At 42.8% G+C, this 13,102-nt stretch overlaps 1 protein-coding gene and 1 long non-coding RNA gene across 2 annotated transcripts, besides 3 other annotated features; one reads left to right on the forward strand and one right to left on the reverse strand.

Annotated features, from left to right (window-relative positions):
* Positions 582-1,207: an enhancer, noted in NCBI's record as "H3K27ac hESC enhancer chr5:148724745-148725370 (GRCh37/hg19 assembly coordinates)". NCBI's record gives its function as "activates a minimal SCP1, AML or CMV promoter by ChIP-STARR-seq in primed H9 embryonic stem cells {active_cell/tissue: H9 hESC(primed)}" and the evidence as "EXISTENCE:reporter gene assay evidence [ECO:0000049][PMID:30033119]".
* Positions 899-9,983, forward strand: GRPEL2 (GrpE like 2, mitochondrial). Its single transcript, NM_152407.4, has 4 exons — positions 899-1,016; positions 3,672-3,825; positions 5,054-5,135; positions 6,318-9,983. Exons 1-4 carry the CDS (start codon positions 940-942, stop codon positions 6,680-6,682), a joined length of 678 nt encoding a protein of 225 aa, NP_689620.2. The 5' UTR covers positions 899-939; the 3' UTR covers positions 6,683-9,983.
* Positions 1,208-1,831: an enhancer, noted in NCBI's record as "H3K27ac hESC enhancer chr5:148725371-148725994 (GRCh37/hg19 assembly coordinates)". NCBI's record gives its function as "activates a minimal SCP1, AML or CMV promoter by ChIP-STARR-seq in primed H9 embryonic stem cells {active_cell/tissue: H9 hESC(primed)}" and the evidence as "EXISTENCE:reporter gene assay evidence [ECO:0000049][PMID:30033119]".
* Positions 2,356-2,856: an enhancer, noted in NCBI's record as "H3K4me1 hESC enhancer chr5:148726519-148727019 (GRCh37/hg19 assembly coordinates)". NCBI's record gives its function as "activates a minimal SCP1, AML or CMV promoter by ChIP-STARR-seq in naive H9 embryonic stem cells {active_cell/tissue: H9 hESC(naive)}" and the evidence as "EXISTENCE:reporter gene assay evidence [ECO:0000049][PMID:30033119]".
* GRPEL2-AS1 (GRPEL2 antisense RNA 1) lies at positions 3,516-13,042 on the reverse strand. The gene is made up of 2 exons (NR_132366.1): positions 12,925-13,042; positions 3,516-3,798 (listed from the first exon to the last, which is right to left on the reverse strand). It is a non-coding gene; the product is annotated as a GRPEL2 antisense RNA 1 (long non-coding RNA).
* Positions 13,043-13,102: the final 60 nt, after the last annotated feature.

The raw sequence follows: 13,102 nt of genomic DNA on the forward strand, positions 1-13,102 counted from the left end.
GTGTAGTGGGCGCCTGTAATCCCAGCTACTGAGGAGGCTGAGGCAGGAGAATCACTTGAACCTGGGAGGCAGAGGTTGCAGTGAGCCGAGATCGTGCCACTGCACTCCAGCCTGGGTGACAGAGTGAGACTCCATCTCAAAAAAAATAATTTTGAACACCTACATTAGGGCACTGCTCAATGGGAATGAATAGACAATATCTCTGCCTTAAAAGAGCTTATATTTTAGTGAGAGGAAATGAGAAAATACACACTATTTAAAAAAACAATTCAGTCGATAAGAAGGGCATTAGAGAAAAAGACTGGGAGGAGTGATGGGCAATGGTTCAGGCTGCGATGTTTTAAACCGCTCACGTGATCTAGCCCTTCCTAACCACCAGTCCTGTTGCCCTCCCGCCTCAGTATATTTCAGTCCCTTACATGCAATACTCTTCTCTCTTTATTAGGCTTCTGCAGATGTTTCCCTCTGCCTGAACCCTTTCTTCAGCTCAGCTCAAATACCCCCTTCCTCTGGGAAAACTTTCCACAAGGCTAGATTTCTATTCTAGGCTTCCGCGACACCTGCCCCTCACCTTCAAACACCGCTCATATTCTGACTTTACATCCCGCTTGTATCTGTTTATCGCTCATAATATCAAGTAAGCTCCATGCGGGCACAGCTATGATCTGCTTTCTTTGCTGCCGACCCTGCGCCCAGCACGGAGACTGTAGTTACTACTAGGACCTCGCCTACCCGCGGAACACACTGAGAGCCGGAAGTGTTGCCTTAGCTCCGGACGACCGGATGGGGAACGGCGCGGCCCATCGGGCAACCGGAAGCATAGCGTTCCTGTCCGGAAGTCCTGAGAGGGAAACGCCCGCAAAGGCTGGTTTTTAAGCGGGAGCATCTCTTCACTCGCAGCAAGTGCGCGTGCGCTGCCTCTCAGCCCAAATTGGAAACATGGCCGTACGGTCGCTGTGGGCGGGCCGGCTGCGGGTGCAGCGCCTACTGGCCTGGAGTGCCGCGTGGGAGAGCAAGTAAGCATTGCAGGCGGGGAGTCGGGAGCGTGAGGACTCTGAGGGGCTAGCGAGCCAGCCGGGGTGGTTGTGGGCTGGAAGGCGAGAGCTATCTGAGCGTAGGCCAGGGGACCAAGCTTCTCGGCCTCTACGACCGTGCACTCACGGCCCCATTTTACAGACGGGGAAACTGAGGCCATCAGCCGTGCCTCTTTCTTAGGCCGAGGAAGGTAAGGAGATCCGAGGTCATGCATGGCCTGGAAGGTGAGAAGTCTCTTAAGCCCCCAAGGGAGGGATGTACCACTCTCCCGGCCTCTTCTCCCAGCCTGTGGTACCTGTGGGTAAATTTGGGTTCTCTCCCCTCACTCCGTGTGACCTAAGGCCAGTCCTTTCTCCGTTATCCGGGCACTGTTGTACCTGTCAGTAAAAGGAGGCCGCTGAACTTGTTTCTCCAAACGGCCATTGCATCAGCCTTCGGAAGACAAGTTCCATCGGCAGCTTTTATTGGTCGCTTACGAGGCCGACTGCAGAATTATGGGTGGTTCTTTTTATTATTACCCATTTAGTAGTTAAGGAAAGTGAGGTTTAGAAAAGTTGAGTAACTTCCAAACTTAAATATTTGGGAAGTGGTGGAACCCGGGCTGGAAACCAGTCAGGGCGTTGGAATCGGCGCTCTTATTTAATGAGCGATGTTAATTAATTTTCTCAGAGACTGTTGCCCCTACACTGTTTCTTCCTGGGATAGAGAATAAAAATAGTTGAGTACGAGGTAGGGTTGGACCTCTGAATAGTAAAGTAAGCTACGGGAGAATCTGGTAAATGTGCTTAACTACATATGTCACCCTTTTTACCTTAACACACCTGACCCAACATCCTACCCTAGCACCTAAGTGAGAGGTTGCATTCAGGGTTTCGGGACTTGGTTTTGCTTACCGTTCTCAAGTCTTTTTGGCAGCTTGTTGGTGATGTAAGGAAATGACCAGAAGAAAAATGGTTCCTTCTGGTAAGCTGTCTCCCTACTCCAGTTCTGAAGCAGTAGGAATTGAGATTGGCCACAACTCCCCAACCCTATTTCTTGGTCTAAGCTTTGGCCATTTTCCCTTTGAACTGGCCCTGAGAATTTTTTTTTTTTTTTTTTTTTTTTTTTTTTTTTTTTTTTTGAGACGGAGTCTCACTCTGTCGCCCAGGCTGGAGTGCAGTGGCACAATCTCGGCTCACTGCAAGCTCCGCCTCCCGGGTTCACGCCATTCTCCTGCCTCAGCCTCCCGAGTAGCTGGGACTACAGGCGCCCGCCACTACGCCCAGCTAATTTTTTGTATTTTTAGTAGAGACGGGGTTTCACCGTGGTCTCGATCTCCTGACCTCGTGATCCGCACGCCTCGGCCTCCCAAAGTGCTGGGATTACAGGCGTGAGCCACCGCGCCCGGCCCCTGAGAATATTTTGACCTGCTTTTTCAAGTGGATAAATGTGGTTTTTTTAGGGAGAAGATGTTTCACCGTGTGTAATTAGCCCCAGATCTACGGTGACCATATTTTCTGACCCCAAAATGTGGAACTGTCTATAAAATCACACACCGGATTATAATAATTGAATTTAAGATCAGCTTGGAAAGTAGGAGAGATAAAAGTCCTCTTGCTTACACCTTTAAACTAGCTATTTGCTCTGCCCAGGATGCTCTTCCCTTTTCTAAAGCTGACTCCTTTACCCTCTTTAAGCCTTTGCTCAGCTGTCTCCGTGAGGACCACTCTACAGTATATGCCAGTCCATAAAAATTGTTTTAAAGAACTCATGTACTCACAGATTGATTTTCAAGATAATTTTACTTACAGTCAAATTACGAAGATCCAGGAGTTGCAGTGGAAACTTCCTTGAACTGGGCCAGGTCAGGACTGCCACAGCCCAAGATTTGCTGTAAACTAGCCCCTAGTCTAAATTTATTTCTGTGTAAACTGAACTAAATGTCAAAACAGTTTAGCTGTACAAAATTCTAGATTACATAACTAGTTGAATGCAAAGATCTATTTTCACCTGTGTCTATTCACCGGCAGTAACATATAGTATTGTATAAGTATTTCATTGACTTGATCTTATTTATAGGTGGGAATTTCTTTCTCAGCACAGGTCTCCTAAAAGCCTTACAGGTTGTGGTGAGGAAGGCTTAGAATTCTAAGCCTTAAGGTCCCTTTACTGGACTTAATTTCCCTCATCTGTAAGTTAGAAGGTTGAACCAGAACTATATGACTTTTTGAATGCCCACTTCTGACAATGCTCCTCTGGTTCTGGGTACTAGCATTTGGTTTCCTTATGCTGACTTTTGTATACCCAGTTCTGGCTATTTCTGCTGCCTGGTTCTTAGTGTCCTGACCCAGCGGAATACCAACTATGTGATCTTGAGCAGGCCATTATGCCTTAAGCCTCTCAGCATCAGTTTTCTCATCTGTAAAATAGGGATAATGATAGGACTTATCTCACATATTGTTGTGAGAGGAAAAGATGACTCAAGTAAAACAGTGTCTGGTACATGGTAAGGACTTCGTAAGTGTTCATTTGTTACTATAACTGAAAACACTTTCTCCAGAGATTCCATCTGGGAAGATCTCTGGTCTCTAAACTTGGTTGTAATTTTGGCTTATGATGGCATTTCTTCATTATGTGCCACCTCCTTCCTGTTTTAGGGGATGGCCGCTTCCATTCAGCACTGCCACCCAGAGAACTGCTGGTGAGGACTGCCGTTCTGAGGACCCTCCTGATGAGCTTGGGCCCCCTCTTGCTGAACGAGCCTTAAGGGTAAAAGCTGTTAAACTGGAGAAAGAAGTCCAAGATTTAACAGTGAGTCAATTTTATATTTCTTCTTCATATCCTCTCTCTAGTTTAAATATCCACATAAAGTTTTTTATGTCAATTTTCAAAATGAAGTTTTCTTTAATTGGCTCTTTATCTGCTACCCCTCATCCCTCCTCCACTCCTTGCTAGGTATACTGGGCAGAAAAAAACTGTAGTAGTTGAAAAACACCACTGGCTAAAGATAGTCATCTCTTTTCGGTTTCCTGTTATGTCACAGCACTTAGATATCTGATGTTTCAGCAGATTAAAGGAGGTGTACAGTGCCTGGAATATAGTAGACAATAAATATTTGTTGAATGAGTGAGGTCACTGACCATTGTTCTTTGCTGATGAGACCATGTCTGGCATACTGGACCCAGTCCTGGGTTGATAGACACACTTAGAGGGAGATAGATAAACTAGAGGAATTCCAAAGCAAAACCACCTAGATAGAATGGTAAGGAGGCTGGAAAGCATTCCTTATGACAGCAATTGAAAGAACCACGAATTGTCTTAAGAATGAGAGAGAAAAGGACTAAAGAGGGTAAAATAACTGCCTCCAAATAGATGACATACTTTTTTTTTTTTTAAATGAGACGTAGTTTCACTCTTGTTGTCCAGGCTGGAGTACAATGGCATGATCTCAGCTCACTGCAACCTCTGCCTCCCAGGTTCAAGTGCTTCTTCTGCCTCAGCCTCCCGAATAGCTGGGATTACAGGTGCCTGACACCATGCCAGGCTGATTTTTGTATTTTTAGTAGAGACAGGGTTTTACCATGTTGGCCAGGCTGGTCTCAAACTCCTGACCTCAAGTGATTCGCCCATCTCAGCCTCCCAAAGTGCTGGGATTACAGGCGTGAGCCACCGTGCCCTGCCTAGATGACATACTTTTAAAACTTATTCTCAGTTATCCTTAAGTTCAAGTCAATGAAAGGAAGTTGGAGGTTGGCAGTGTTGGCTGAATGTGAAAAAGAAAGCTTTTCCTCAAGATAATGAACTTGAAACCGTTAGGAGTTTGAACTGTCAGGCTAAATGACTACCTAGCAGTGCTGCTAAAGAGTGGGTTTCTGCGTTGACTGGGGATTTGGAGTAGCTGATCTAAGATTTCTGTAACTCCTAGTTTGTTTTATAAAAACCTATCAAAAGGGTGAAATTTGTAAAGTAAGCAAAAACATTCTCTTCCACCAATAAGTATTTGTTTTCTCATCCTTTTGATTTTGCTTTTGATATTCAGGTGAGATACCAGAGAGCTATAGCTGATTGTGAAAACATAAGGAGGCGAACCCAGAGATGTGTGGAAGACGCCAAGATATTTGGTGAGAGATTTATTTACAATAAAAATGTCTTTGGTTGGGCACAGTGGCTTATGCCTGTAATCCCAGCACTTTGAGAGTCTAAGGCTGTCAGATCACATGAGATCAGGATTCAAGACCAGTCTGGCCAACATGACACCTCGTCTCTACTGAAAATACAAACTAGCTAGGCATGGTGGCAGGCGCCTGTAATCCCAGCTACTCTGGAGGCTGAGGCACGAGAATCACTTGAACCCAGGAGGCAGAGGTTGCAGTAAGCCAGGATCATGCCCCTACACTCCAGCCTGGTCAACAGAATGAGACTCAGTCTCAAAAAAAAAAATGAAAAATGTCTTTGACTTCAAAGTCAAAGACCTAGCCTGTTTTGACACAAGGCCTTAAGCCTGTCCCTGGATTAAAGTCAGATTAACAAAGTCCTTGACTCTCACCAGCCCCCACTGGAGCTTTGGTATCGTGTCATAGACCTCTCTAATGATGACTTTCTTGCCCTCATTTCTGTAAGAAAAATCAAGTTTTAGAATTGAGCGTAATGGGATTTCTCAACAACTGAATTTACTTTTGTCTTGTAACAGTTCGTATGACTCTTTTAAAAAATCAGACAAGTTTTGTGGTCCATCTCTAGCAACTTCATAGCCAACTTACCTCATCTATGGCTGTGTCTTACTTTCGTGTTCCTATTTAGCCAGTCCTCAAGAATAAACCATTCATGACACCCCTTAGCATAGTGTTGTTGACTTTCTTTTTTTATTGTTAGTGCCCTTCTCGTGAAATATTAATGTCTTGTCCCTGTTGAGAATGTATGCCATAGCACAACTGGGACAGGCAGGAATTTTCAAAATGTACATAATACTACAAGCAAATAGCAACAAAAATTCATGTACATAAAAATAGTTGTTTTTAAAGAACAGGTTTAAGCCTGTTGTGTATAGTCTTACCTAGTTCTTGGGTTCTGTCTTTTCCATTTCCTAGTCAAGTTCCTAGTCATATATGCCTTCTGAGAGAGACACTGACTTGTCAGTTGGGTTGGGGTGGTAATCAGTGATGATCTCTGAGTCCTGTGTGGCAACCTTTCCACTTGCTGGACTACTCAGCATACTAGCCGTCTATCTAGGCCTTACCCAAACTCTATGCCCACGGGCAGAGTGATTTCCTCACAAACAATAAAAATAACTGGCTTCTCTGCAGGAATCCAGAGTTTCTGTAAGGACTTGGTGGAGGTGGCTGACATTTTGGAGAAGACTACAGAGTGCATTTCTGAAGAATCGGAGCCTGAGGACCAAAAGCTCACTCTGGAGAAGGTCTTCCGAGGGTTGTTGCTTTTAGAAGCAAAGCTGAAAAGTGTGTTTGCCAAGCATGGCCTGGAGAAACTGACACCCATTGGTGACAAATATGACCCCCATGAGCATGAACTCATCTGTCATGTGCCAGCTGGTGTTGGGGTGCAGCCTGGCACCGTGGCATTAGTAAGACAAGATGGCTACAAACTTCATGGCCGCACCATTAGGCTTGCCCGAGTGGAAGTGGCAGTGGAGTCTCAGAGAAGACTGTGAAGAGGCCATCAGGAACTGGATGTTCTCCCAGAGCGCAGTCACCTATGTTTCTTTTATTTATTAAACTAGGTTTGTATTGTACATGAGGTACTTCATGTGATATGTTTTGGATTTAGTCATATTGGCTTTATTTCTAAGATATTCTATTGATTTAATGTGACCTGTTTGGTCTCATCAGAAGTCTTACCATTGGGCATTTGAACAGTGTGACAGGTGTTCCAATGGCCTTTATCAAAACATGTTTAGGAAAATTGGTACTGTGATAAATTTGAATCCAAAATCCTTTTAACTATGGGTTTTCAACTACATGTTTCTTCCTAGCGGTCTCTATAACAGGAATTGTGTAGTATCTTGTATTTTGTGGAAAAAGGAGATGGTAGGGATTGGTTCAACATTTGGGTACTTAGAGGATAAAGCTTCGTGGTCGTATAAATTTAGATCATTTGGATTGATTTTTATACACATAGATTTTCAGGACTTTACCTTTTGTTTTGTTTTTTTCCTTTTAGCCATCTTTTGTTCTTGTAATCCCAACTAGATAGGCTTTATGCTCACATCATTGTCCCATACCCACCCCTTTCTCATCCCCATTTGCAGGGGCTAAAGGTCTAGATGAGACTTGGAAGGCAAGGAGCATCGAAATTTGAGATACCCAGGACCCTTTCAAGCAAGAATGGCCAAAAAGCCTTGTGCTGTCTTTGCTCTTCAAATTATTTTCAGCCTCCTTGTCATATAATCATTTCAGGCAAACTGAGGCAACACTAACAGCTAATGACCCAGATGGCTCTATTTGGGTAATTTACCTACAACTTATTCCACCAGCCTTTACTCCTCTGCCCTTTTGTCAATTTTACCTTATAATCCTTTATTAAATGATGGGAGGTGGTGATCAGGACAAAAGTGTTAGGTTCCCATGATTTCTCATTTCATTTATTAATAGTTAATGCTGAATTTTTTTTTAAGTTTCCTCTGGCTCTATTTATGTTACTTTTTGCGATAAGAACACTTAACATAAGTATTCTCTCCTCTTGGCAATTTTTTTTTTTTTTCCTGTGTTGCCCAGGCTGACCTCCAACTCCTGGGCCCAAGCAATCCTGCCTCAGCCTGCCAAGTAGCTAGGACTACAGGCGTTCACCACTGCGCCCGCAAAGTTTTTTTGTTGTTTTTTTTTTTAAGTTGGTACTCACAAATCACTACCTCTGTTATATTGACAAGCTCTATTTCCTATTCTTTGTATCTGTTAAGTCACATCTGTGTAAACATTGAGCTCACCTTTTATATATTAACCTCTAGAATTAATGGGCCTATGTGGTTTTTTTTCAGTCTTATAGCTGGTGTTCTGTAAAAGATTTGTCCAATAAACGACTTAATGAATGATACATCAGTCAGATTTTAGGAAGGCAGTCAATTATGGATATTTTAATGTTGGAAGAGGCCTTAATGATCAAATCTCACCCTTTCTGCTTCTGAAGTATGAAAATCTAGTCTTTTTAGGACTGGACACAAGGAAAATAATCTCTAAACTATTGACTAAATTCCAGTGAGAGTATGAATGAAGAACAACTAGATATTAATGTCAATCATTTAAGATTAATGGGCATGCAATTAAGTCTCCATTTAAGATTAATGGGCATGCAATGAAGTCTCCAGCAGACAATCAGATGTTGTTGGATGTCTAGATTATATAGGTTTAGGTTGAAGTTATAAAATAAAATAAAATTCATTTTCCACTGGAACTCTATGACATTCAGTGGAGTGGTGGAAAGTTAACCTCTTATACATTATAGATAATTCTAAGACAGCACACAAACTTATCAATAAAGCCATCTCCTTGTGGGCCTTACCATCTTCATCAGATTTAGACCCTTAAAAAACAAGTAAATATGCACTTTTAAAATGCAATCAAAAGACTGGTGGTTAAGCTTGTAAAACCAGAACATCTTTTGGCATTCCACTAAGTATATATTGTAAATTTAATGAACAATCAAGGTTCACAATAGGAAGTTGTCTTTTTTTGCCTTCCATTCTGTGAGATTTGACAGATGGTGACAATAAGAAAATGAGCTGATTGTAATTACTCTCTGTGTGTTTTTTTATTGCTAGCTATCATTACCAGTTAGAATTAACATTAATTACAATTAACAATAATTTTAGGTATGGAATGTTATGATTACCTAAAGAGATGTCTCTACCTAATGAGCTCAAGTGATCCTCCCACCTCAGCCTACCAAGTAGCCAGGACCACAGGCAAGTGCACCACCATGACTGGCTAGTTTTGTTTTTTGGTTTTTGGTTTTTGGTTTTTGGTTTTTTTTTTTTGGTTGGTTGGTTGTTTTTTACAGGCGGGGTCTCACTATATTGTCCAGGCTAGAAGAATTTTCTAATGGTCTATTACACCTCCCGTTTTGGCAAGTAAATTCAGAATAATTTTAGGTTCTTTTGTTATTCAGTAGTTTTGCAGACTTAAAAGTGTAAATTTAGAATTAGAAGATGAAGCTATAGTAGTAAGAATCTCAAGCTGAAGGGCTTTGGGGAGCCAAAGCAGCATATTAGAGCATAGGCTTGAACTTAAATCTCAGCTCAGTCACCTGCAGGACTTTAGGCACCAGTGATTTCACCCTTCTGAGCCTGTTTCTTTATTCGTAAAATGATTATAATAATTCTTTCACAGCGTTGTGAGGATTAAGTGAAATGTGTTAAATGCCTACTACAGTAGGTGCTCAGATATTTATTTTTATTTTTTTATTATGCACATTGTTTTTCCTGCCTTTTTATGGCTGTCTAAAGTCTAGGGAAAAGGGAAGACTGGTTAATGATGAGTAGAAAAAACTTGTAAGCTAATCATTCACTGACTTATTTTCCTTCCATTTTCTGGTTTTTAAAATTAGCCACACCACAGGAAACCCACATTTTTAGATGGAAAGAGCAAGAAAATTGTGTCAGTGCTCTTAGTTATTTTCATCTTAATGGTATAGTGAAAAGACATTGACTTGAGATGATACTAAGGAAGCTTTGGCTCACTCTCACTTGAAGAGGGGATCTTGGTGTTGTAGTACTTGGACTGTACAAATGTTTTACTGACTTTTCTTACTGCTGTAAAGGAATCAGGCAGTTGGGTATTGATATGTTATTTGGTGCTCTCATTCATGGCAAAGGATTTGATAAATAAAAGTTCTTTAAACACTAAAGCAAAATCAAATGAGCAAAACTAAGGATGAAATGTAATATTCATCAGAACAAGGATCACTGAGAAAAAATATTCAGAAACAACTTTAATAAAACCTGAATTGAAATAACTGCAGCTCTGGTGTTTAGAGTCTTTGTCTGCCTATTCGTATTGTATATGGAACATTATGGTCACTTCATGACTGCTGACCTGCCTTGTTGATGCTCTGGAGAGGTACCTTGAGATCTCATAGCAGCATAGCCAAGTGGATGCACTGTGGGCTTTCCCCACCCTGCCTCCGTGTTGAAGTCTTGTCTGTTTTATTCCTCCTTGACTTGCCTCTTTCTGATTGCTACATATTTCTTAGATCTGGATTCCTATTTCTGCCTTTTTTTTTTTTTTTTTTTTTTGAGATGGAGTTTTGCTCTTGTTGCCCAGGCTAGAGTGCAATGGCGCGATCTCAGCTCAGCGCAACCTCCGCCTCCCAGGTTCAAGCAATTCTCCTGCCTCAGCCTCCCGAGTAGCTGGGATTACAGGCACCTGCCACCACGCCTAATTTTTTGTATTTTGAGTAGAGACAGTTTCACCACGTTGGCCAGGCTGGTCTTGAACTCCTGACTTCAGGCGATCCACCTGCCTCGGCTTCCCAAAGTGCTGGGCTCACAGGCCTGAGCCACTGTTCCCAGCCCTATTTCTGCCTTCTTTTCTGGCATTGACTTGTTTTCTTGGGTTCGCCTTTTGGTTCTAGGTGTCTTATTTCCTTTGACTACTGCTGACTATTCTCCTAACCAGATTACAGACACTTGGCCTTGTTCTGACCTTCAGCTTCCCCATGTCCTTCCCACCTTGTGACTGCCTGGCCTTGTCTTTACCTCTGCTTCTCAGCTAGCTTCCATATACCTAGACTCCTGGCTGAATGGCCCTCTGTTGGGCCAGCCTTCCCTGGGATTTGGTCTTGCGTTTTCATTATCTTTCCAATACTGTCTGTACACTGTAGCTCCATAAACCATGTGTCCCATATTCCCAGTGCTAGTCAGTGAGTATATTCTTATTCCTATCCACTCAGATGTCCATGCTCTCAAGTTCACTGTAGTTTTAAAACATGGCTCCAGAATTTCTTGACACCTTTGTTGAGTAGGGCCCATGTCCATTCTTGAGTTTCCTTGGAGCTTTGTGATTGCTTGACCAATAGAATACAGTGGAAGTGACACTGCCATTTTCTGGACCCAGATCTTAAGAAACTGGTATCCCCACTTCCTGTCTTGGGATGCTCACCCCTGGAACCTTACCATCGTGCCAAGAGCAAACTGAAGTAGCCTGTGGAATGGAACTGAGGGCCCTGGTTGAGCTTTCAGCTGAGCCAGCACTGTCTTGCCAGCCAGTGAGCCATCTTGAAGGTGGATCCTCCCACACCCAGTGGAGCAGCCCCAAATGATACCACATGGAACAGATGAGCTGATCTCACTGAGTCCTGCCTGAGGTGTAGTGTGAGCAAAACAGATGACTGTTACTTTAAGCCACTACATTTTTTAATGGTTTGTTACACAACAGCAGATAAAATGATACAGTCACCCCACTGCATTCCCAGTCTGGCACCTTTGTGCCACAAGAATTGTGCCTACTTGCTTTTCCCTTATCAGCTCTTTCGAACCTCTCTTACAATGTTGATGAGCGCACACATTGTCAATGGGCTAGTAGGGTTGGAAGGGCTTCCTAACAGAAAAAAACAGCTCTAGATTTAAGAGTTACAAAGGACCCTAAAATTACAAGCAAAGTATAGTCAAGAAGATGAATTTGAACACTAACATGATTTACCCTACAAAAAAATGACAAGAATCAGAATAAGTTCATAAGAGAATTTGGCACATAGTGGTCAATGAGTGCTTGTTTTAAAAACTGTTTAAGGGAGTATCTTGAACCTTTGGAAATGAACTTAAAAGGTGTTGCATCCTGACACAAACATTGCCAAAAAAAAAAGTTTAAGATTATGACAAATGCATGATTATTCATCTACCAGTTTACTAGTAGTAATCCAGTTTGGCCCAAGTAAATTAAGTCTCAGTGCTGAGTTAGAACCCCAGCTATAAGCTCTTTCACCATTCTCTGAATCACTTCAGTTTTTTGTTTTTGTTTTTGTTTGAGTCAGAGTCTCGCTCTGTCACCCACGGTGGAGTGCAGTGGTACAATCTCGGCTCACTGCAACATGTGCCTCCCAGGTTCAAGCGATTCTCCTGCCCCAGCCTCCCGAGTAGCTGGGATTACAGGCGCACACCACCAAGCCCAGCTAATTTTTGCATTTTAGCAGAGATGAGGTTTCACCATGATGGCCGAGCTGGTCTCGAACTCCTGACCTCAAGTGATCTGCCCACCTCGGCCTCCCAAACTGCTGGGATTACAGGCATGAGCCACTGTGCCCGGCCCAGTTTCTTATTTTAGCCATAATCTCACTGAGTAAATATGGATTTCATTTATTTTTATATATTTATTTATTTTTAAAGACAGGGACTCTTGTCACTCAGGCTGGAGTGCAGTGGCACAATCATAGAACACTGTAACCTCAAACTACCGGTCTCAAGCCTCCCACCTCTGCCTCCTGAATAGCTAGGACTACAGGTGTGCACCACCACTCCTGGCGAATTTTTTTTTTTTAAGAGACGGGGTCTCAGAGTCTCATTATGTTGCCCAGGCTGGTCTCAAACTGCTGGCCTAAGCGATCCTCCCGCCTGACCTTCCAAAATGCTGGGATTACAGGCTTGAGCCACCCCCAGCCTCCGGATTTTCTTTATTCTGAAACTCATCCCTAACTTTATTTTCTGCCAGAGGAAGTCTGTTTTTCACAGCGTGATAAACTAGCAAGTCTGAGCTGCTGCTCTTGTCTTCTTAGAGGATGAAAATGGGAGTTTATCCCTCCTTTTCTCCTTTCTGAAAAGAGAGTAGATGAAACCTTCCCCCGCCTTTTGGTTTTTAGGAAGCAGAAAGCAGAGATATTAACTATATAAAAACTGCAAACACATAAATAACAGCAGTATAGAAAGCATAGGGCTTGTGTCAGCATATGAATGAGGTAGCGTCTTACCACCCTGGCCGCATGCTTGGTCAGCAATTTCCAGCACTTGCAGACACTGCAAAAGGCTTCCCTTATCTCATAAGATGGTTACAACCACCTAGAAAGGTGGAGCAGGATTCTTCGTCTGTGTTATAATAGAGGAAACAGACACAGAGAAGATACAGAGCTAATAACGCAGAGGCTGGAC

This window comes from Homo sapiens, chromosome 5 (genome assembly GCF_000001405.40).
Source record: "Homo sapiens chromosome 5, GRCh38.p14 Primary Assembly".
Classification (NCBI taxonomy): domain Eukaryota; kingdom Metazoa; phylum Chordata; class Mammalia; order Primates; family Hominidae; genus Homo; species Homo sapiens.

Bases quoted from the DNA above. Each gene is read 5' to 3' on its own strand.
- GRPEL2 (NM_152407.4), top strand. From the start codon at position 940: ATGGCCGTACGGTCGCTGTGGGCGGGCCGGCTGCGGGTGCAGCGCCTA. The intron at 1,017-3,671 runs GTAAGCATTGCA...TTCCTGTTTTAG, and splicing joins AGTGCCGCGTGGGAGAGCAA to GGGATGGCCGCTTCCATTCA. The intron at 3,826-5,053 runs GTGAGTCAATTT...TTTGATATTCAG, and splicing joins AAGAAGTCCAAGATTTAACA to GTGAGATACCAGAGAGCTAT.